This window comes from Homo sapiens, chromosome 14 (genome assembly GCF_000001405.40).
Source record: "Homo sapiens chromosome 14, GRCh38.p14 Primary Assembly".
Lineage (NCBI taxonomy): Eukaryota > Metazoa > Chordata > Mammalia > Primates > Hominidae > Homo > Homo sapiens.
In genome coordinates this window covers 64,409,859-64,433,077 of record NC_000014.9, presented here as the reverse complement: position 1 = coordinate 64,433,077, position 23,219 = coordinate 64,409,859, and the positions used below count along the sequence as shown (strand labels likewise).

At 44.2% G+C, this 23,219-nt stretch overlaps 1 protein-coding gene across 2 annotated transcripts in view, besides 1 other annotated feature; it reads right to left on the bottom strand.

Moving 5' to 3' along the window:
• The window catches only part of MTHFD1 (methylenetetrahydrofolate dehydrogenase, cyclohydrolase and formyltetrahydrofolate synthetase 1), a 71,673-nt gene that overhangs the window by 26,948 nt on the left and 21,506 nt on the right, over positions 1 to 23,219 (bottom strand). For both annotated transcript variants that reach the window (NM_005956.4, NM_001364837.1), the window contains exons 3-15: positions 21,929 to 21,988; positions 20,553 to 20,606; positions 17,584 to 17,720; positions 17,339 to 17,439; positions 15,054 to 15,190; positions 13,153 to 13,264; positions 8,147 to 8,274; positions 7,251 to 7,348; positions 6,886 to 7,059; positions 5,605 to 5,741; positions 2,848 to 2,894; positions 1,439 to 1,546; positions 1,217 to 1,291 (exon numbers count right to left, since the gene is read on the bottom strand). In NM_005956.4, the coding sequence (NP_005947.3) occupies positions 1,217 to 1,291; positions 1,439 to 1,546; positions 2,848 to 2,894; positions 5,605 to 5,741; positions 6,886 to 7,059; positions 7,251 to 7,348; positions 8,147 to 8,274; positions 13,153 to 13,264; positions 15,054 to 15,190; positions 17,339 to 17,439; positions 17,584 to 17,720; positions 20,553 to 20,606; positions 21,929 to 21,988 (1,368 nt within the window). The remainder of the gene's footprint in view (positions 1 to 1,216; positions 1,292 to 1,438; positions 1,547 to 2,847; positions 2,895 to 5,604; positions 5,742 to 6,885; positions 7,060 to 7,250; positions 7,349 to 8,146; positions 8,275 to 13,152; positions 13,265 to 15,053; positions 15,191 to 17,338; positions 17,440 to 17,583; positions 17,721 to 20,552; positions 20,607 to 21,928; positions 21,989 to 23,219) is intronic.
• Positions 2,733 to 3,027: an enhancer, noted in NCBI's record as "tiled region #9441; HepG2 Activating DNase unmatched - State 12:CtcfO, and K562 Activating DNase unmatched - State 12:CtcfO". NCBI's record gives its function as "activates a minimal TATA promoter and a strong SV40 promoter by Sharpr-MPRA in HepG2 and K562 cells {active_cell/tissue: HepG2 | K562}" and the evidence as "EXISTENCE:reporter gene assay evidence [ECO:0000049][PMID:27701403]".

The window sequence follows — 23,219 nt, the reverse complement described above, 5'->3', positions numbered from 1 at the left end:
ACAAAAAATCCCTTGTGGCCAGACGTGGTGGCTCACGCCAGTAATCCCAACACTTTGGGAGGCTGAGGCAGGACCATCGCTTTAGACCAGGAGTTTGAGACCAGCCTGGACAATATGGTGAGACACGGTCTCTACAAAAAAATAAAATAAAAAATTAGCCAGGTGTGGTGGTGTGTGTACCTATAGTCCCAGGTGCTCAGGAGGCTAAGATGAGAGGATTGCTTGAACCTGGAAGGTGGAAGCTATAGTGAGCTGTGATTGTGCCTCTGCACTCCAGCCGGGTTACAGAGAGAGACGCTGTCTCAAAAAAGAAAACAAAAAACAAAACAAAACACCTCTCCTTTGCTGTTCCTTTATGGTCATACCCTCCCTTCATCCATACCCTTAACATCTATTGATCTGTTCCCTAGCACTATAGTTTTCTCTTATTGAGAATATCATATAAATGGAGGCATGCAATATGCAAGCTTTTGAGACTGGCTTCTTTCACCCAGCATAATGCCACTGAAATTCATCCAAGTTGTTGCTTGTATCAATAGCTCATTTATTTTTATTGGATGGATGTACCAGTTTGTTTATTTATTCATCCAATGAAAGACATTTAGATTAGTTCCCAGTTTTTGGAAATTATTAATAGAGCTGCTAAAAACATTAATGTACAGATTTTTATGTGAACAGAGTTTTCATTTATTTTGGGTGAGATTTCTGGGTCAGGTGGTATGGTGTATGCTTACTAACTATGTATTTGTTACAGAAATTCAAATAAAATATAGATATAACTATGGTTTTAACTGTTTAACACAGACCCTTATCTATTCAGGGCAAGGCAAGTATTATTTTACAGACAAGTAAGCGGAGAAACAAGTCATTTAACAAATTTGCTTAAGGTCCCAATGATGCAAACTCCAAAGGCTGCTATGCCGCCACAGTGACATCCTGACTCTTGTTCATGTTATAAAGGAAGTGTCGTTTCTTTCTTAGCTGAGGGCAGGTTGTCAGTGTTCTATTTATTCCACACTAGCCACTTCTAATCTATAGATAAATGAGAAATAACCTCTACCATCCATCTTTGCTATGTATATCATGACTTTAAGACTATGATTACTGATGTAACTTCATCTAAAATAGGCTACTCCAAGAAGACTTTTATGTCCTAATCAATGATCAGATTCCAGATTCCATACAATATAAAAAATGTGGAAGAAAAAAAGCTTACCTTTAACCTTCGGATTTGGATGTCAGAGAACCTTCTCACTCCATTTACTGATGGCACCAAACGATTAAAGAGAGCCTTAAAGAAAAGAAAGGGGCTTTAAAATGAGAGGAGCCCCACTGCTTTGCTACCTGCATCCTCAGCACCCAAGACACCAACACTAATTCAGATGGTTCAATACTTTCAAAACTGTTCAATGGGGTTCATGGGGCTTTGGCATCCTACCTTGTCTGTCTGGGTCAGTTCATGAAATATCCGAGCATCAATGGCCGCAGCAACGAGGTTATTAGCTGCAGTGATGGCATGGATGTCACCTGTGAGGTGGAGATTAAACTACAAAAGAACAGAAGCCACATTAGTCTCCCAGCTGCTCTGTATCTTTCCAACTTTCATTCTATTGCAAAGCTCAATCCCTATTTTAAAGCCAATGGAATACTGAAGGCAGCCCAGTTAGTGGACAAACACCCAATATAGGGAGTTCTTGAAAACATAAATGACTGGCTGGGTGTGGTAGCTCACAACTATAATACCAGCACTTTGGGAGGCCGAGGCGGGCGGATCACTTCAGGCCAGGAGTTCAAGACCACCCTGGGCAACATGGCGAAACCCCATCTCTACTAAAAACATAAAAAGTAGCCAAGTGTGGTAGTGCGCACCTGTAATCCCAGCTACTTGGAAGGCTGAGGCAGGAGAACTTGGGAGGTGGAGGTTGCAGTGACCCAAGATCACACCACTACACTCCAGCCTGGGTGACAGAGTGAGACTCTGTCTTAAAAAAAAAAAAAAAAGAAAAAGAAAAAGAAAAAGAAAACATAAAAGACTAATTATCTGTCCACAGAAGAATCTCCTCCCAAATACAGAACTTGCAGTTTTTCCAAAATGAGATGTCCAGAGACCACAAATACCACACCACTGGGATCAACAGCCACACTGGGTTACTGAGGACACACCTCAAAACAGCGAGGAGGAGTGCACGGGAGCAGCACCGACTCTATGTCTATGTAATGTTCCAATTTCTGCAGTTACATAAATGAATTCTGAAATCGCTGTGTGTTGGTGCTTCCCGATACCATGCTTCATTTGGTCATTTGCTTATAATAATCATTCCCACTGAAAGCCAAAGTTTGAAACCAAGCTGTATCACAAGTCTGCAAATTAAGTTGTTTTCCCCCTAGGTGTTGCTTTTGCTGAGAAACAAGTCATTTGTCCGCTAAGAGCTCTACAAAAAAGGCTAATCTCCAGAGAGAAAAAGCTATAATAAAGAATCTAGGCTGGGTGCGGTGGCTCACGCCTATAATACCAGCACTTTGGGAGGCCGAGGTGGGCGGATCACGAGGTCAGGAGTTCAAGACCAGCTTGGCCAACACGGTGAAACCCCGTCTCTACTAAAAATACAAAATTAGCTGAGCGTGGTGGTGCATGCCTGTAATCCCAGCTACTCGGGAGGCTGACGCAGGAGAGTTGCTTGAACCTGGGAGGCAGAGGTTGCAGTGAGCCGAGATTGCGCCATTGCACTCCAGCTCTGGGCAACAGAGCAAGACTCCGTCATGGGGAAAAAAAGGGAGCTAATTCAGCACCCTCCCCCCCGACAAAAAAAGGGGGATCTAATTCAGCCAAATCCCAGAATACTTTACCTCTTCCATAGGAATGACCTGGGAGTAGCCGCCTCCTGCAGCGCCACCTAGGGGACAGGTCAAGGGTGGAAGCTCAGTTAAGCATGCTTCTCCAATGACTTAGAAATCAAATAAATGCAAATGCATTATTGTAACTACTAAGCACATTTATTTATTTATTTTTTAGAATCATTTGGACAGTTTTGATCAAGTGTTTTCTAATACTAGTCTCTCAATTGAAATCTGAGTTTAAATGACAAAACCATGAACAAATATATACCTACTCATTATCTTTAGAAATATGTTCCTTGTAATTACTGGCATTTGTTAAAACACCCAGCTGACAGTTACATAAAGGCAACCTGTTCAATTTCCTACTCTCATAAAGCTACTTTGGCTTTTAAAACAGAAATATTTAAAATACATACACCTAACAAAAAGACTATAATTTTTCCTAAATAGAGATAAATAGATTAGGCTGTTAGAAAGCAGCCTAATTGCTAGATTTTTTTGGGCTACTTGGATTACAGGTTGAGTATCCCTTATTTAAAATGCTTGGATTTGGGTTTTGGATTTGGGTTTTTGTTTTCCAGATTTTGGAATATTTTCATCATACTGATCCAGCATCCCAAATCCAGGATTTAAAATCTGAAATGATCCAATGAGCATGTCCTTTGAGCATCGTGTCAGCACTCAAAAAGTTTAGAATTTTGGAGCCTTTCAGATTTCAGGTTTCTAGATTTCTGATGCTCAATCTGTATTAGCCAAAAGCCAGTTGAAAATGTTCAGGACACCAAGCATGGCTGCTCATGCCTATAGTCCTAGCCTGGGAGATCAAGGCTGCAGTGAGTTATGATCATGCCACTGCACTCCAGCCTGAGCTGGGACTCCAGACAGAGCAAGACTCTGTCTCAAAAAAAACAAACAAACAAACAAAAAAAGTCCAGGTTACCACATTATCAGTGCAATAAATGTAAATCAGATATATATTTTTTTAGACAGAGTCTCATACTGTCTCACAGGCTGGAGGGTAATGGTCTGGGATTACAGGCACATACCACCATGCCCAGCTAATTTTTGTGTTTTTAATAGAGACGGGGTTTGCCATGTTGGCCTGGCTGGTCTCGAACTCCTGGCCTCAAGTAATCTACCACCTCACCCTCCCAAAGTGCTGGGATTTTAGGCATGAGCCACTGCACCCAGCCCAGAGATATATTAATATGTATTTTGTTTTTGTGAGGCAGAGACCGTGCAGTGAGGCAATTTGCAGTAAGAGTAAAAGGAAAATAATGGGTTCAATAAGCAGAACAAGGAATAGCTCGTGCTGAAGTTGAAAGGGGGTTAAGACAAGCTCAAGAGCAGAACAAAGTGATTACATTTATAAAATAGGTGGAAGGGTGGGCTGGGCACGGTGGCTCATGCCTATTATCCCAGCACATTGGGAGGCCAAGGTGGGCAGATCACAAGGTCAGGAGTTCAAGACCAGCCTGGCCAATATAGTGAAACCCCATCTCTACTAAAAACACAAAAATTAGCCAGGCATGGTGGCACGCACCTGTAGTCCCAGCTACTTGGGAGGCTGAGGCAGGAGAATTGCTTGAAACCAGGAGGCGGAGGTTGCAGTGAGCCAAGATCGTGCCACTGTACTCCAGCCCAGGCAACAGAGCGAGACTGTGTCTCCAAAAAAAAAAAAAAAGGTGGAAGGGTGAAGGTGTTCCCGGTGTCAACATTTGTAGTAATTGCTAGAACAAGCAAAATGTGATACCCTCACCAAGCAGAGAAAGCTAACTCTAAGAACCTATCATAATTAATAAACATTATTTTAATTAAGACAGCAGCTTGGCACGGTGGCTCATGCCTATAGTCCTACCAGTTTGGAAGGCTGAGACAGGCAGATCACTTGAGGTCAGAAGTTCAAGACCAGCCTGGCCAAAATGGTGAAACCCCGTCTCTACCAAAAATACAAAAATTAGCCAGGCATGGTCATGCGTGCCTGTAATCCCAGCTACTCGGGAGGCTGTGGCAGGAGAGTCTCTTGAACCCAGAAGGTGGAGAGGTTGCAATGAGCCGAGATCACACCACTGCATTCCAGCCTGGGCGACAGAGTGAGTGAGACCCTGTCTCAAAAAAAAAAAAAAAAAAAAAAAAACACATGTTCTTAGTACCGCAGCAATAAAAATCTGAAGGTAAAGTGCGAGTATGGTAGTAATTTAGAGCTTGAAATAGACATGGAAGAATCACTCTGGTACTTAATACAGGTGCCTTTGACCAAGCCACCTCTGAAGTCCCAGTTGCTGCTATTTTAAAATGGTGACAATACTATCTCGTACTGGATGATAGAATAATATGCAAAAACTGCTCAGCACAATATCTGGCACAAAGCATATATTCAATAAAGGTAGGCTTTTCTTATTCCCAACAAGGTGAAACATCTGTGGGGTTTGTCATTGTCTCTAGAGTGTCTGTAAGATGATCAGTAGCTATGATTACCTTTATGGTTACTGTAGCAGTGGACTATGAGGGTCAAATAAAAGCACCTCCAGCTACATATCACCCATCCCAGAGAATCCCTGTGCAGTGGCCAACAGTGACAGCAGGAGCTGGGGAGATCCAATGACAGCCTTCATCAAAAGCATGACTACAGAGGTTTGTGAGAATGACATTCCTGGTGTTGAAATGAGTTGAAGACCCCATAAGTATCATAGGTTGCGTGGGCCTGGGAGGACTGAAGGAGAAGCAGGTCCCCTGTCACCACCCATGGTCCAGTCTCACTAGTACCTTTTATTCCAAAGGTGGGGCCCTGAGAAGGCTGTCGCACACACGCAAAGACATTCTGGTAGAGATGGGCACCAAGGGCTTGCACTAGCCCGATTGTAGTTGTGCTTTTCCCTTCTCCCAGGGGTGTTGGAGTTATTCTTCAAGACGAAAGCAAAAGAGAAAAAGGTTTAAAGAATTAAGTGTATCTGAATCACTAAGTCATACCTAGCAGATCCTAGAGAATGACTCGTAATCTAAAGATTAAGAAAGACAAAGTCAGGCATAGCAGTGTATGCCTGTAGTCCCAGCTATATAGGAGGCTGAGGCAAGAGGATCACTTGAGCCCAGGAGTTCCAGGCTACAGTAAGCTATGACTGCACCACTGTACTCCAGCCTGGGCAACAGAGCAAACCCCCATCTCTTAAAGAAAAAAAAAGAAAGAAAAGACAAAGAAAAAGAAAGACAAAAGCCCTGAAAGATATCTTTTTCAAAAGTCTTAGTTGTAATTTCCAAAAAACTTTAAGAAAAAAAATGATTCCTGTATTTTAGCTCTTCTTGCTGTAAGAAGCAAATATACTTTATCTTGTAGAGACACGGCTATAATTTTAATTTCTCATTTTATATTCTCAAAAACTAGCTTTTTAATATAACCTCAGCCCAGCAATAAAAATGAATGCTTAGTAAATCCATCGAATTAATGAATTTTGGGTTCAAAAAGGTGATTCTGGCCGGGTGTGGTGGCTCACGCCTGTAATCCCAGCACTTTGGGAGGCTGAGGTGGGTGGATCACAAGGTCAGGAGTTCGAGACCAGCCTGGCCAACATAGTGAAACACACTCTCTACTAAAAATACAAAAATTAGCTGGGTGTGGTGCCTTGCACCTGTAGTCCCAGCTACTCGGGAGGCTGAGGCAGGAGAACCGCTTGAACTTGGGAGACAGAGGTTGTGGTGAGCCGAGATCGTGCCACTGCACTCCAGCCTGGGCAACAGAGCGAGACTCTGTCTCAAAACAACAACAACAACAACAACAGCAAAAGGTGATTCTATCTTAAGACCGGGTTTTAAGACCAAACTCTTCCACTTACTAGATGGATAACCTTGACCAATTTTCTCATCTATGATTATAATCTATTCTTACCTACCTCTCAGGATTGCTGTAAGGATCAAATGAGATCAAATACGGGTGAAAATGCTAAAATCAAATTAAAGGCACCTCTACATACATGTGCCAAGTGCAAATGCAACGCCTTAGTATCAGGACTGATACTAAGATTTGGATGGCAACATGAATAAAAAGCATACCCAGTCACCACCACGTATTTCCCATCAGGCCGGTGCTTCAGGCGTTCTAGTGCTGACAGCAGAACTTTGGCCTTTGTTTCACCATATAATTCTACCTCTTCAGACAGCAGACCAATTTCTCGAGCCAGCTTACCAATGGGCTTCGGTTTACAAGATCGTGATATATCAATGTCACTTTGGAAACATAGAAAATAGGTATTAATGTTTATCCACTGAGTTTAATTAATCCCACAGTAGTAACAAGCCCCCAACCCAACCCCAACCACTGAAGGCACCTTCAGAGGGAGCATATGTGAACCCACAGTATCTGTCAACTAAAAACCAACAATTCACAAAGTTTTAAATCAGTAAAACTTTATTTTTACCTTGGAACAGGTGTCTTGAGGTTAAGGTTGTTATACTGAATCATCCACTTTCCTGGCTTAAATTTCTCCAGGAAACGCTTGGCACTCTCTACTGTGCTCTAAGCAAAATGAAATAAATGAAACTTAGAAGAGGTGGTTATTTTAATCCTCACCTCAGTTTCAAGCTCCAGGTCACTCCAGTTCAATCACAAAATGAACTGCTTCAGACCCACTTATTACCATGCTTCAATCCTAGCTAAGAGTCAAGAGGCACCTAACATGCTTTGGGGCTGCTCGCCTGGCCCCTGTCAGCTGGTGCATGTTAGAAAGGGAAAACAGGCCGGGCACGGTGGCTCACACCTCTAATCCCAGCACTTTGGAAGGCCAAGGTGGGCGGATCACCTGAGGTCGGGAGTTCCAGACCAGCCTAACCAACGTGGAGAAACCTGTCTCTACTAAAAATACAAAATTCGCCGGGCGTGGTGGTGCACACCTGTAATCCCAGCTACTCAGGAGGCTGAGGCAGGAGAATCACTTGAATCAGGGAGATGGAGGTTGCGGTAAGCCAAGATCACACCATTGCACTCCAGCCTGGGCAGCAAGAGCAAAACTCCGTCTCAAAAAAAAAAAAAAAAAAAGAAAGGGAAGGCAAACCAAAACAGACCTGGCCAAGCCAGTGTGATCGCACTTTTCTTCTTTCAAAGTTATTATATTCCAAAACAGACTGGAATTATGCCATCCCTACTTTCCTCTATTAATGTGCCTGATCTTATTTCTCTATTCTTCCCTTCCCTTTTTCTCAATAAATTCACATCTTTACTTCTGAGTAGGTTTTTGACATTTCTACTTGGGGAGAAAAGCAGCCAAAACTCGATCAGCTTTTCAGAACTCTTATAGAAACTTTTATTCACAATTACCTGCATGAGCATTGCAACTGTCATGGGCCCTACGCCGCCAGGAACAGGAGTGATGAAGCTCGCCCTCTCTTTGGCCTCGTCGTATGCCACATCACCCACAACTTTTCTCCCATTTGGTTTTTTATCATCTGGTCAAGTGGGGGAGAAATCAAAACTAAGTCTCAGAATCACAGTCCTGGTGATCAGTTACGACAAAAACTCAGCAGAATTGTAGGGTGTGTTAGTCCCATCAGGCTCCAGTGCCTACTTAACTTAAAAGCTATGGAATGACAGATGTTTGCTATTTCTTAGGGAGAAAATTATTTTACCTGCAAAAATTCACAAGATGCATAAGTGGTTTTACAGAACCTGGAGAATCCTTTTGTAGTCTCTCAGGTGGCAAATAAAATACCAACTGTTTTTTATTCTTAAAACCAACTACCCAGTATATAATGAGCACCCATTTTAAAATGTTAATTTGCTAAAGCCTACAAAGGAAATTTTTTGGGTGCACAAAGATCCAACTCTGTCACAGCTGCCAGATATCGTTTCTACAGCAACTGTCAGCATTTTGTGAGCTCCATGTGTGAGCTGGAGGAACAATTCAACATCCAATTCCAAAGACACAGCTACTTAAATGTATGCTAAAGGCAAAGAATATAATTACACTTCCCTTAAAAGGACACAAGAACAACTACAAATCTTACCAGCAAAGAATAGCTATTCAAGAGAACAAAACCCAATGATGCATCATTGCTCACTCACACAAAGAACATCCTACACTTGGCTTCAGTGCACTTCCAGGAGGGGCTGGGGGCGGGCCTAGACCTCGAAGCAATAAGGCTCCCGCGCTGCATCTGGTAGTTTTAGCGACATCACCACTTCTCTCTGATCAGATCGCCACAACTGAGAAGAAGCTCCAAGGTGGAGGCAAGAAGCCAGAATTAAGAGATTAGCAGGCACTTTGGGAGGCCGAGGCGGGCGGATCACCAGATCAGGAGATCAAGACCATCCTGGCTAACACAGTGAAACCCCGTCTCTGCTAAAAATACAAAAAAATTAGCTGGGCATGGTGGCGGGCACCTGTAGTCCCAGCTACTTGGGAGGCTGAGGCAGGAGAATGGCATGAACCCGGGGGGCGGAGCTTGCAGTGAGCGGAGATTGCGTCACTGCACTCCAGCCTGGGCAACAGAGCGAGACTCTGTCTCAGAAAAAAAAGAGATTAGCTGTAGCATCAGCTCTTTTATTAAAAATTAGGGCCAGGTGTGGTGGCTCACACCTGTAATGCCAGCACTTTGGGAGGCCAAGGCGGGTGGATCACCTGAGGTCAGGAGTCCGAGACCAGCCTGGCCAGCATGGTGAAACCCCGTCTCTACTAAAAATATTAAAAAATCAGCTGGGCTTGGTAGCGGGCACCTGTAATCCCAGCTGCTCAGAGGCTGAGGCAGGAGACTCACTTGAACCCGGGAGGCGGAGGCTGCAGTGAGCATTCCACTCCAGCCTGGGCAACAAGAGCGAAACTCCGTCTCAAAAAAAAAAGTTAGTTCTGCAGCTCCTGTGGGCTCCATATTAATCTGAAGTCCAAAATGCAAAGAAGGCTTAACACTACCTATCACAAATTTGCTGAGGGCAAAATGAGAAAATGTGTACATTACTGAAATTGAAAAAGCAGCCTCCAAACGCAAGAGTTTCTCTTTCCACCACAGATACGTAAGATATTTTTTATATGGAGTAAAAGGAGCTGGTCAACACAACTCATTGGGATGGTTTCAAGTTTCTAGAAGATTATAAAGCAGCAAACTGGCAGAACATTTCCTCTTACAGCCCCTAGAGTCATTTCAAAATGCCAAGGAAATATAGATAGAGGTTTGCCCTCTGTACAAGTTTCAATCGTCTTCACACTGTAGTTAGCTTGAAATACCCGCTGCATCTATTTCTACGTGTTAATGTTAGTCATTTTCGTTTTCCCACAGGTAAGAGACACATATCTTTGACTACATGACTAAACGCAGCACTGGTGAGTTCAGTTTTGCTCCTAAACCAAATACTGTCAGGGTTGACGAGACACTGCTAAACATGCAGTGCTTCGTGGATAGGATGATGTGGTCAGTGGAAAAAGTGACCACTACTCAGCCTAAGCATATGACCTCAGTAATGAGCAAACCTTTTGGTTATCTACCCCCAGCCCTAGAATTTCTCTTTCTTTGGGAAATCACATGTACAAAAATCAACTAAAGATCCAGCTGAGCCCTGACTCTTCTACATTTAATTTGGGGACCCTAATAATAGAGGCCAGTCCAGAAGCAGCTACACTGGATAGGTTGAGACTGGATTGCATTAGGGTGGGGAATCTGTTCCCACTTTTTAACCCTTCCAAATAAAACACTATTGATCTGGCCCTTCTCAATTTATCTTTAGTAAGCCAAGCAGGAAGAGCACTTTTATGTGTTTCTCTGGCCAATACTTTCTGCCCTGCACTTGAATCTTTAAAAATATTACTTCTTTGTAAAAGGTATACACACCTTGATTCATTCTTAATTTGGCAAGTGACTTACAATGTTATCCCTGAGTGGACCATGCAAACTATTTAAATAATCAAAATATGAACCAAGAAGTAGCTCGGTGGTAGAAAAGTTTGCTTCTAAAGTGAACATTTGCAAATATCAGTCTTTAGGTCCTGCAGCCCATTTGCTGGTCTGTAACTGAGTGATTCTGCCATCCTTTGGGGAACACAATAACATCCAGCTGTATCAGCATTAATTTGCCTATATGCCCAAGATCAGTAAAAACACTGTTGACCAGAAGGGAAGATACTGCTTTGATTTTATTCATATTTTATTGTCTACATAAGGAATCAATGTGAAAAGGATGGCAAGTTTCATGTTTAAGTCAACATTTCCTACCTATCTGCAACACTCAAGATCCCCACTCAGGTTTTTCTTCTCCATTTCTCACATGTAATCCAAAAAAAAAATGCCAAAAGCAGAAATATGATACAGAAGATGCGAGGTTTTAAAAAGACTGAGCTTGCTGGGTGCGGTGGCTCACGCCTGTAATCCCAGCACTTTGGGAGGCAAAGGTGGGCGGATCACGAGGTCAGGAGATCGAGACCATCCTGGCTAACATGGTGAAACCCCGTCTCTACTAAAAATACAAAAAAAATTAGCCGGGCGTGGTGGCGGGCGCCTGTAGTCCCAGCTACTCGGGAGGCGGAGGCGGGAGAATGGCATGAACCCGCAAGGCGGAGCTTGCAGTGAGCCGAGATCGCGCCACAGCACTCCAGCCTGGGCAACAGAGCGAGACTCCGTCTCAAGAAAAAAAAAAAAAATTAAAAAAATAAATAAATAAAAAGACTGAGCTTGAATGTCATATCGCAAGTATTCAAAGTGAGGAGTTGTAGGAGAGCAATTTCTTTATCGCCTGTTAGATAATTACACTACAAGAAAATGAGTGATCAATTATGAGCTACTGTCTTAAAAGCACGGTAGGGAGAGTGGGAGGGAGGTTAAAAACGGTGAAGGCTTGACAGTGACTAATGTTCCTGGCAGCTCAGCGTCTACATCTGAAACTTGAGATGGGAAGGGAGAAAAAAGACTTCCAGCTATAACTCCCTTCGACAATTCAATAGATATGAGTGCCAGTGGTCAGATGGCAGGAAGCTGGATGTGGCGCCACAGTGACCACTGCCCTTGAGGAGCTATCTAGGCAGGAGAGCACAGGACGCCGTACATGAGACACATGCAACAAAAGATACAATACACATGTTCTATGGGAGAGGAGGGAGGGAGAGAAGGAAAGATCATCCCTTGATAAGGGGAAATCAAACAAGGTTTGGAAGGAATAACAGACATGACAGAGAGGAGATGGGGAGGAAGCAGCTGAAGGTGAAGGTGAAGTTGAACCTTATTCAGTTGTGTAGCCCAAGGCCTGGCATTGTGCTGGATACACAGTAGTTGCTCCGTTAAAGATTGTTCCTTTCTTGGATCTATGAGGACGTACGCAAGTTTTGCCCTATTGTTCTGTGAAGTTTTCTGTTTGAAAGAGTAGCCCACTCCACTAAGAATGCAGGTGAGGGAACTACAAAGGGCAAACGAGGCATGCGCAGGGAAGGGAAAGTGGTCCACTTTACAAGTTGAAGACAGGTATTCACCATGCGCAAGTGAGATCACAGGCTGCAGAGGTCACTGAAATTAGTGTGAGGCTAAGGAGTCTGGCAAGTAAGAAGGAAGAGGCTCAGAGTTCCATGCCAGAAGGTGAACGTGGCAAGGCGAGAGCACGGGGATAGATCTGAGTGGGAAGCAGCTGGAGGGAGGGACACCTGCAAGGAAGTTATCACAGCCCATCAGCTGAGAAGGTAACACTCAGTGGTGACACTCAGAACAGAGGAGAGAGAAAACAATTCCTAATATTTAGAGACTGGTCCAATATAGGGAATGCTTGGGAGGGAAACTAAAAGGCTTCAGACTTGCGGGAAGGAAGAATGGTGATACTAACCAAAAGACGGGAGTAAGGGGTAACTTGGGGATGAGGATGCCGAGTACAGTTTTGGACATGATTAAAAGGCTAGATTTATCCTCTCAGCCTAGAAAAAAACCCAGGTCAAATATCTTCTTTGTAAAGCCCTCCTCTTGGCAGAATGAGTCCCTCTTCTGGACTCTCATAGCACTTTGCAATAATTATACTGTATTTTAAATCCATCCATCAACTTTGCTAAAATAAAGGGTGATCTCTACATGAAGATAAAGTGATATATCCCTCCTGCCCTCCCTCTCACTTTCTCCCTGGACAAAGTCATCTTGGAAGCTGTACAGCACATGATGAAAATCAAAGGCTCTGGCACCAGGCAGACCTGCCTGCAAGTGGCAACTCTTCTATCTACTAACTCTGTGCACCCTTGGGCTAGTCAGTCTCCTAAACCTTAGTACTACAAGCATAAAATGAGACAAGCTTCTCTCTCAGGCTTCTTTTGATGACCTAGATACCATCCTCAATACCAGCAGCCACCTTACTCCTCCAACAACACTCACCTGGGACATAATTGATTCCACAGTCGATGACTATTGCCCCAGGTTTGATCCACTCCCCTTTAACCATTTCAGGCTGACCAGTTGCAACCACCAGGATGTCACCTTTATTTACCTAGGGGTAGGGGATTTGGACATCAGAAATGAAATAATGAAATACACACCAAAAAAAAACCCAGAAATGAAAAGGATATCCCTGAGCTTTGTATTAAATTCTTAAGTGTCATAAGCTATTTCATAAGATATTGGGTTAAGGCCTCAAATGTAAGCCACACACTGTTTCTGACAGCCCTTCACATGCCGTGCTCATTTCTACACATGCCAAAGAGCTCCCTTTCACCAGCCATTTTACCCAATAGGGAAATCAGTGTCAACCTGCAAGGCAGAGGGGCAAACAGGCTTGGGGCCCTGCGTGTTATGTCCAGACACTGCTCCTTCTCCTACAGAATGTAGAGCACTACTTTGGGAGGATTAAAAGAGAAAGTACTAGGCCTCTCTCCTGCTCTCTCCCCACATTTAAGAGACTGCACTGTCAACAGGCACGTGTGTGTGTGTGCGCATTCTTGGGCTCAGGAATCTGATGCAGGGATCTAGAACAAGCTGCCATAGCTATTAGCAGACTACTGCCCACGACTGCCTCTGGAGCACCTTCACTCTGAGGCCACCACTTTTACACACATGGGATCTGGCTGCCAGAGGTCAATCTGAGTGCCTGTACTGCTAATCCCTGTCCACCACGAGGCAGATTAGGGTAGAAAGTACTTGGTGAGAGGCCAGGCATGTTGGGTCACGCCTGTAATCTCAGCACTTTAGGAAGGTGAACCAGGAGGATCGCTTGAGTCCAGGAGTTTGAGTCCAGCCTGGGCAACACAGTGAGACCCCTGTCGCTACAAAAAGCTTAAAAATTAGCCAGGCATGGTGGCACATGCCTGTAGTCCCAGCTACTCAGAAGGTTGATGCAGGAGGATCACTCGAGCCCAGGAGTTCAAAGCTGCAGTGGGCTCTCATGGACTGCCACTGCACTCTAGCCTAAATAACAGAGCAAGACCCTGTCTCAAAAGAAAAAAGACAAAGGTCGGGCATGGTGGCTCATGCCTGTAATCCCAGTACTTTGGGAGGCCAAGGCAGGTGGATCACCTGAGGTCAGGAGTTCAAGACCGGCCTGACCAACATGGAGAAACCTTGTCTCTACTAAAAATACAAAATTAGCCAGGCGTGGTGGCACATGCCTGTAATCCCAGCTACTCAGGAGGCTGAGGCAGGAGAATCACTTGAACCCAGGAGGCAGAGGTTGTGGTGAGCTGAGATTGCGCCATTGCACTCCAGCCTGGGCAACAAGAGTGAAACTCCATCTCAAAAAAAATAAATAAAGAAAAAAGAAAAAGGAAGAGAGAAAGTACACAGAACAAACTCTGTATAAACTTCAGCATGCTTTTAATTTTATGTTTTTTTTAATTAATTAATTTTTTTTTTTTTTTGAGACAGGGTCTTGCTCTGTAGCCCAGGCTGGAGTGCAGTGGTGTGATCGTAGCTTACTGCAGCCTCGACCTCCTGGGCTCAAGCAATCCTCTTGCCTCAACCTCCCGAGTAGCTGGGACTACAGGCATGTGCCCACCCCATCTGGCTAATTTTTAATTTTTTTTGCAGAGAAAGCGTCTCACTATGTTGCCCAGGCTGGTCTCAAAAACTCTTGGGCTCAAACAATCCTCCTGCCTCAGACTCCCAAAGTGTTGGGACTACAGGTGTCAGCCACCCCACTCAGCCTTTAATTTGAATTTGTTTTTTCATCTTGTAAAAATGAGATGATGGGGTTAAATGAGGTCATGAGTGTAAAGGACATGGCAGCCTCTGGCACACCCACCCTCCCCACCGTAACACCTTTACCTCTCCTCTGGACACCCTACCTCCTCATCCAGATGGGCAGTCTTGGAGTGGCAGGTGGTCACTGTGGCATTGTTCCACAGAAGCAAGTCATGCATCGGGGCCCCAACTATTTTACTGCGCCCAACCACCACAGCATGCCTTCCGGCAATCGGCACCCCTGAAAGAAAAGCCAGCCTGCATCAGAGTTGGAGGATAGAAGCTGCCCTCCTTCGCATGCCACGTGGAGAAATTAGAATAAGTGCACAAAAACAGGTTCTTAACATCAAACAGAAACCTTCCTAAAAGCATTCCTTCTTTGGCAATAATATTCTCAACTCTAGGGTTTCAGCTATAAATTGGGACTTGTACTTGTGTCCTTCTGGCCGTGGGTTTTTGGGAGCAGCTTAAGCCAAGATCATTCATTGAGTCATAGGGGAGTGGGAAGAAAACCTACACTCAAAGAAAAAAGAAACCCTGACATACAGCTAATCAGCCATACGGAAGAAGACATCAGATTAAATTACATGGGGAAAAAAAGTTAAAACAAATAGGGTGTATGTAACAGGCTGGAGAGATGTGTAAGAAATTAGATTAGTATCGGTAATTCCTTCTAACTTTGGTAAGTTTGTTTATACAGTTCCTCACCCAAATTTCTCTTTTGGCTTAGGGCCTGAGCCATAGGGTTACTTGCAGGGAAGTGATAAAGGGGAAATTGAACTGTGGCAGCAAAGCTTTCTTTTTGCTATCACAGCATCCATTTTTCTGGCAATATACCAATGTCCTTTTCAGGGCTGACTCATACTCTACTAAAGACAGCCTGAGTGAGTACCCAGTAGTGGACAGGGGACCATATTTCTTCCCTCAGCTGATAAGATCCAATCCCATGACTGTTAGGCATGAGGATGGAACCAGGCTGTAGGTGTTTGTGGCCACAAAGTGGAGCCCGAAAATGAGCTGTCCACAAAGAAGAAAGCAGAGAGAAGTTGACGACTTCATCAGAGTCCTCAGGGCAGTCAAGGCTGAGGGCAGTGGACCCTTGCTCAAAGCAGCAAGGGTTTAAATTGTGCTTCTCGCATAAAATCATTTTTTTTCAGAAAAAGATAAACTCTTATAATAATGTGAACATCATGAACATCTAGAAGTAAAGACCTCAAAGTTTTAAAAGGTAACTTTCTATACTTTTTAGGATTCAGCAGAAGAGTTAAAGCTGCATCAGGGCAAATGGTAGCATCACTCAATAAGAGGCAGTGGGAGGCCTTCAGGTGCTGTCCTCGTGGGATTTTTTTCTTTTAAGCAAGGCACTACAATGTTTGCTAAATATGCTGAAGAATATACATTTAACTGTAGAAATGAACTGTCAAAGCTTGACCTTTGACCTTTTCTTGCCAACCACAGAAAATTTTCATTTATGCTGGCCAAAACTTTCCACTTGAAACTTCTGACCTACTTCTTTTTACCAGGACCCATTTCCTTGTAAAAAATAACCTCTGCTAAAAGTATTCATAATGAAATTAAAATAGCAAGGTGCTAACTAGTAACGGGACAATATGGCCAACTGTGCAGGAGACCCATTTCCAGCCATCTGTCGAGTCCTGGAACTACTGTGGAGATTCAGTGCCCATTTTGGGGGTGGGGGGAGGTGGGGCTTTTCACTTCATATCCTTTTAAACTATCCAAATTTTTATTACTGTATAGGTTAAAATAAATTGCTTTGAACTCAGATAACTCTGAATTCAAATCTTGGTTCCGTTGTCTCCCAGACAAGTTACTTGCTCTCTCTGAGCTGGTTTTGTTTGTTTGTTTGTTTGTTTGTTTATTTTAGAGACAGAGTCTCGCTCTGTTGCCCAGGCTGGAGTGCAGTCAGGTGATCTCGGCTCACTGCAACCTCCGCCTCCCAGGTTCAATCAATCCTCCCACCTCTGCCTCCCGAATAGCTGGGAATACAGGTGCATGCCACCCTGCCTGGATAATTTTTTTGTATTTTTAGTAGAGACAGGGTTTCACCATGTTGACCAGGCTGGTCTCGAATTCCTGACCTCAGGTGATCTCAGCCCGCTTCAGCCTCCCAAAGTGCTGGGATAACAGGCATGAGCCGCTGTGCCTGGCCTGAGCCTATTTTCTTAGCAGTTGAACAATAACAGTACCTACTTCACAGAGTTGCTGAGAAAATTGAGAGAAAATTTAGGTAACATCCTTAGTAGACAGGCCCTTCTGCCAATCAAGTCCATTTATTTATGGCCCACAATGTACCTCCTCTATGCCACCACATGTCAAGACCAGGATTCAGGAAATGGTGCTTTCTTGTTGTTTGGTTTGTTGTTTTTACCTGTCTCTTTGATGAGTTCCAAGCATCCCTTAGGCGTACAAGGAATGAAACAGTCATTGAGGTCACCTCTAGCAAGTTTCCCAGCATTGATGCTAGTCAATCTTAAAAAAGTGATGGAAATAAGAAGGAAATAAAGGCAATTAGATGTCTTTACTCTTTAGAAACATTTATGCTGTATTCCCCAAATAGAAACATATTATAAATGAAAGCATGCAATGAGACATAGGAAGCCAAGCCACACTTACCCATCCACATCCTTCTCGGGTGCAATAGCATTGATCACTTCTTCAGTGTTAATGGAATTCTCTGAATCTAAAGGTAGCTGCACTAAGAACCCATGTACAGTAGAGTCTTCATTCAAAGATGTAATGTACTTCATCACCTAAAAGTAATACCATATATAATTTGTATATCACACAGAAATCAAAAGGTAGGAAGAAACACTTTCTAAGGCAAAAATTAGGTTGCCCTATTTCCCCCCAACACTTTAATTATAGTCCTTTCAGAATGTACCTTCCCCTTGAATCCTGAGAGCACCTGTACTTTAACATAGAATGCATCCCCTAGGTGTCTGGTAAGAAGTCCATCAAATAAAAGAGCTAAGAGGCTGGGCGAGGTGTCTCATGCCTGTAATCCCAGCACTTTGGGAGGCCAAGTCAGGAGGATTACTTGAACCCAGGAGTTCAAGACCAGCCTGGACAACACAGTGAAATGTGATATCTACAAAAACTTTTTAAAAATTAGGGCCAGGGGCTGGGTGCGGTGGTTCACGACTGTAATTCCAGCACTTTGGGAGGCTGAGGTGGGTGGATCACCTGAGGTTGGGAGTTTGAGACCAGCTGGGCCAACATAGTGAAACCCTGTCTCTACTAAAAATACAAAATTAGCCAGGTGTGGTGGCACATGCCTGTAATCCTAGCTACTCGGGAGGCTGAGGCAGGAGAATTGCTTGAACCTGGGAGGTGGAGGTTGCAGTCCGCTGAGATAGTGCCACTGCACTCCAGCAGTGAGTTGAGATTGTGCCATTGCACTCCAGCCTGGGCAACAATAGTGAAACTCCACCTCAAAAAAAAAAAAAAAAAATTAGGGCTGGGTGTGGTGGCTCACACCTGTCATCCCAGCACTTTGGGAAGCCAAGGCAGGCCTCCCAAAATATAGAAAATTATTTTCTATAATTTGCACCTTACAATACAATAGCAGCTACTGGATCACTTGAAGCCAGGAGTTTGAAACCAGCCTGGCCAACATGGTGAAACCCTGTCTCTACAAAAATATAAAAAATAAGCCGGGCATAGTGGCGCATGCCTGTAATCTCAGCCTCTCAGGAGGCTGAGGCATGAGAATCGCTTGAACCCAGGAAGCGGAGGCTGCAGTGAGCTGAGATCATGCCACTGCATCCAGCCTGGGCAACAGAGCAAGACTCTGTCTCAAAAAAAAAAAAAAAAAAAAAAAAGCGGGGACAGGTGCGGTGGCTCACGCCTGTAATCCCAGCACTTTGGGAGGCTTGAGTGGGCAGATCACTTGAGGTCAGTAGTTTGAGACCAGCCTGGGCAATATGGGCAATTAAAAATACAAAAATTAGCTGGGCGTGGTGGCGCATGCCTGTAGTCACAGCTACTCAGGAGGCTGAGGCATGAGAATCGCTTGAACCTGGGAGGTGGAGGTTGCAGTGAGCCAATATTGCACCACTGCACTCTAGCCTGGGCGACAAGAGTAAAACTCTGCCTCAAAAATAAAATAAAATTAGCTGGGCATGGTGGCTCATGCCTATAGTCCCAGCTGCTCAAGAGGCTAAGGTGGGAGGATCACTTGAGCTTAGGAGGTTGAGGCTACAATGAGCTATGATCACACCACTGTGCTGCAGCTGAGGCAAAAGAGTGAGACCCTGTCTCTAAAAATACAATACAATAAAATAAAAAGAGCTAAGAACTCTAATAACTTATTACAGCAATAATACCCATGTTACAATCATCCAAATCAAGATGTAGAGCAGCAATGTCCAATCATCTTTTCTGCGATGGCAGAAATTTTCTATAATTTGCACCTTACAATACAATAGCAGCTACTTAATCCTTGCAAAGTGGCTAGTACAACCAAGGAAGTGAATTTTTAATTTTATTTCATTTTAACTAAATTCAAATAGCCTCATGGGGCTAGTGGCTCCCATACTGGACAGCGCATATATGGAACATTGCCATAACCTCAAGAAAGTTGCTTTATCCTCCTACAGTTTAGCATTAATCTCCCACCTACAGGCAACCACAGTTCTGACTTTAATCACCGCTGATTTGTTCTGCCTAGTCCTGAACCTCATATAAAAGGAATACATATTTGGTTTTTAGAATGCAGATAATTACAGGCCAAGGATCGGTTTTACCTATTTTTTTGAGACGGAGTTTTGCTCTTTTTTCCCAGGTTGGAGTGCAATGGTACGATCTTGGCTCACTGCAACCTCCGCCTCCCGGGTTCAAGTGATTCTCCTGCCTCAACCTTCCAAGTAGCTGGGATTACAGGCATGCGCCACCACGCCTGGCAAATTTTGTATTTTTTAGTAGAGACAGGGTTTCTCCATGTTGGCCAGGCTGGTCTCGAACTCCCGACCTCAGGTGATCTGCCCACCTCGGCCTCCCAAAATGCTGGGATTACAGGCATGAGCCACCGTGCCTGGCTCCAAGGATCAGTTTTAACAAACACAACAGATGATTTGGAAGCAAACAGTACTGCAGTCACACTTTGAGTACCAAATGTTCATCCCTGCACCATCTCCTCTGTGGGAGTCTGTGAAGAAAGAATACCTGGAGGTGCCAGGCGTGGTGGCTCACGCCTGTAATCCCAGCACTTTGGGAGGCCAAGGCGGGTAAATCACCTCAGGTCAGGAGTTCAAGACCAGCCTGGCCAACGTGGTGAAACCGCGTCTCTATTAAAAATATAAAAATTAGCCAGGTGAGGCGGTGGGCGCCTGTAATCCCAGCTACTCGGGAGGCTGAGGCAGGAGAATTGCTTGAACCTGGGAGGCGGAGGTTGCAGAGAGTCGAGATCGCATCATTGCTCTCCAGCCTGGGTGACATGAGCAAAACTGTGTCTCAAAAAAAAAAAAAAAAAAAATACCTGGAGGTCTTGGCTAAATGTGTCAGTCCCCAAAGCCCCCGTAAACCAAAACCAGAGAGGAAACCACTTCACCTTCCCTCTTCACAATCAACTCATAAAAGCTCACCTCAGATTCTGTGGTTGTTCTTGGTAACTTAATGTGAGTGGCTTTGATCCCAATCTGCAAAACAGACATTAAAAGCAGGTAAATGGCAAGACAACTTGAGATATTGAACCATTTCTTTTACAGACATGACTAACAAGCAAGGAGGTGTTGGTCATCATTTCACCCTTATATGTTCTGAAGAATGAGTCCCTCACTTCAACCCATTCATCATTCACTTGTTAATTGCCACCACTGCACTTCAGCAATGTCATGCTTGCTATTTCTTGAGAAAGGAAATTAAATCTTGGGACCCCAAATTCATTAAGTCAAAGGGAAAAGCCAAGCTGGGAACTGGGTCATGCAAATCTGCCTCCCCCTTTTTGGTTCCTAAATAAGATGTTACAAGATGAAAAGCTACATGCCTCCCCCATATTTTGCCCACAAAGAAATTCGTAGTGAGCTGCAACATCTTTATGATGTTTCTGTTAAAATTTCACCATGGCAATGTAAATCCCCCCAGCCCACCAGACACAAATGTATATCTGATTTTTCCCCTGCCCAATTCTGTCTATGTTATCTTATGTAAAATGCAGATTGCCTGCATTTTTCCTCTGCCCCACTTGTCTATATCGTCTTTTTTTTTTCTGGTTGGAGCTTCACTCTTATTGCCCAGGCTGGAGTGCAATGGCACTATCTTGGCTCACCACAACCTCCGCCTCCCAGGTTCAAGCGATTCTCCTGCCTCAGCCTCCCGAGTAGCTGGGATTACAGGCATGCGCCACCACACCCAGCTAATTTTTTGTATTTTTAGTAGAGATGGGGTTTCTCCATGTTTCTTAGGCTGGTCTAAAACTCCCGACCTCAGGTGATCCGCCCGCCTCGGCCTCCCAAAGTGCTGGGATTACTGGCGTGAGCCACCGCGTCCGGCCATCTGTCATCTTATGTAAAAAATGCAGATTCACTGAGCCAGAGAAGGTCATGAATGACTATTTTTCCCTACCCACCTCTTACATGAAAACGTGTACTTTTCAATAACCCACCCTTTCCTCTTTAAATTTGGAGAACTCGAAATCATCTTCGGAGAAAGGTATAGACCTGTCTCCCAGGTGTGTCCTTAATTTTGGCAAATAAATCTCCTAAAATGATCGAGACTTGTCACTTTCCTCAATTGACATCCTGCTCTTTGGGAAGAAAATCATTAATGAGAAAACAAAAACTCACGGGCAAACCAGAGGCCACAGATCTAACCCACCCATTTCTGACTTACAAAATAGATAAACTAATGTCTCCTGTGGGTGATAAAAGTTTTCACAGGGAGGACCAAAAAGGGCAAGGGGTAATCGATAGGACCCAGGTGGAGGTTGGGGAGGGTGATGGCACAGCTCTTCTGGCGTTACCTCTTCAGCAGCCTTCAGCTTCACATTTATATAAAGATTGGAATCATCTCTGTTGCCAACCTAGAATAATAAATGCATGCAAATCAGATGATTAGGGAAAGGCAAAGTGCACAGAAAAGCTTCTACAATTTTAGTTTTAATAAAAGAAATGTTTAATCATGCGACTCTTGTTGCAGAGAACTTTTACAGGAGTATAGGGAGGCTGTGGGGGCAGGAGGGATTATGTGAACACAGATGGTGTTACAGCCCCTCCCCTAAACAAGGCCCACCTGGTTCCCACTGCCAAACCCCAAACAGAAAGTAGAGGATATCTGCATCTGCACTGGAAACTAAGCAAGGATGCTGCAGGCCTACTAGAAACATGTGGGATTTCTGCTGCCATACCAGAAAAACAGAGTATGGAGGGCTGAGAAACTGTCATCAGGCAAGAAAAATGCCTGAGAGGCAGGAGCACCCAGAGGGCACATTCCACACCCTCTCCCCCACCCGCAGGGGCAATGGAAAGCTCCCTGGCCCCGCCACACAGACAATAGAAAGGAGGGTGGAAGGACCTCCCTCTAGTTTACACAGAATAAACAGCCAGGCAAGACAAAGGGCAATCTGCTGGCCCCAACACAGAGAGGAGGCCGGGTGCAGCAACTCAGGTCTATAATCCCTGCACTTTGGGAGGCCAAGGGAGGAGGATCGTTTGAGCCCAGGAGTTCGAGACCAGCCTGGGCAACATAGTGAGACCCCCCCCCCCATCTTTACAAAAAATTAGCCAGGCATAGTGGTGCCTGCCTGTAGTCCCAGCACTCAGGAGGCCAAGGTGGGAGGATTACTTGAGGTCAAGAGTTTTTCCATGATTGCACCAGTGCACAGTGAGTCATGGTACTATGCCTGGGCAGCCTGGGCAACAGAGAGAGACCTTGTCTCTTAAAAAAAAAAGAGAGAGACAGGGAGAAACTTGTAGTGCAGAGGCTAAATCCTTTGAACCACCATGCAGTGTCTCACTATGTTCCCTCTGTTTCTTTGACCATGAACATATTTATAGTTTATCATTATAACCATTTATTTGTAAAATTTTATTGTACTAATATTGTTTCATGCTCCAGTGGTTGGTATTTCTCCTTCTCAAGGTTGATACATGCTACCATAAGTTGTGTTTCTCCCAGAATTGCAGAGGGTATCACAGAGGGAAAGGTGGTGGTCCCTTCATATCAAAGACAACTGAAGCACAGCTCCTTTTAACAGGACCATGGCAGAGAAAGAAGCCGGCTTTTGTAACACAGGATTTTCTGAGCTTGTCATA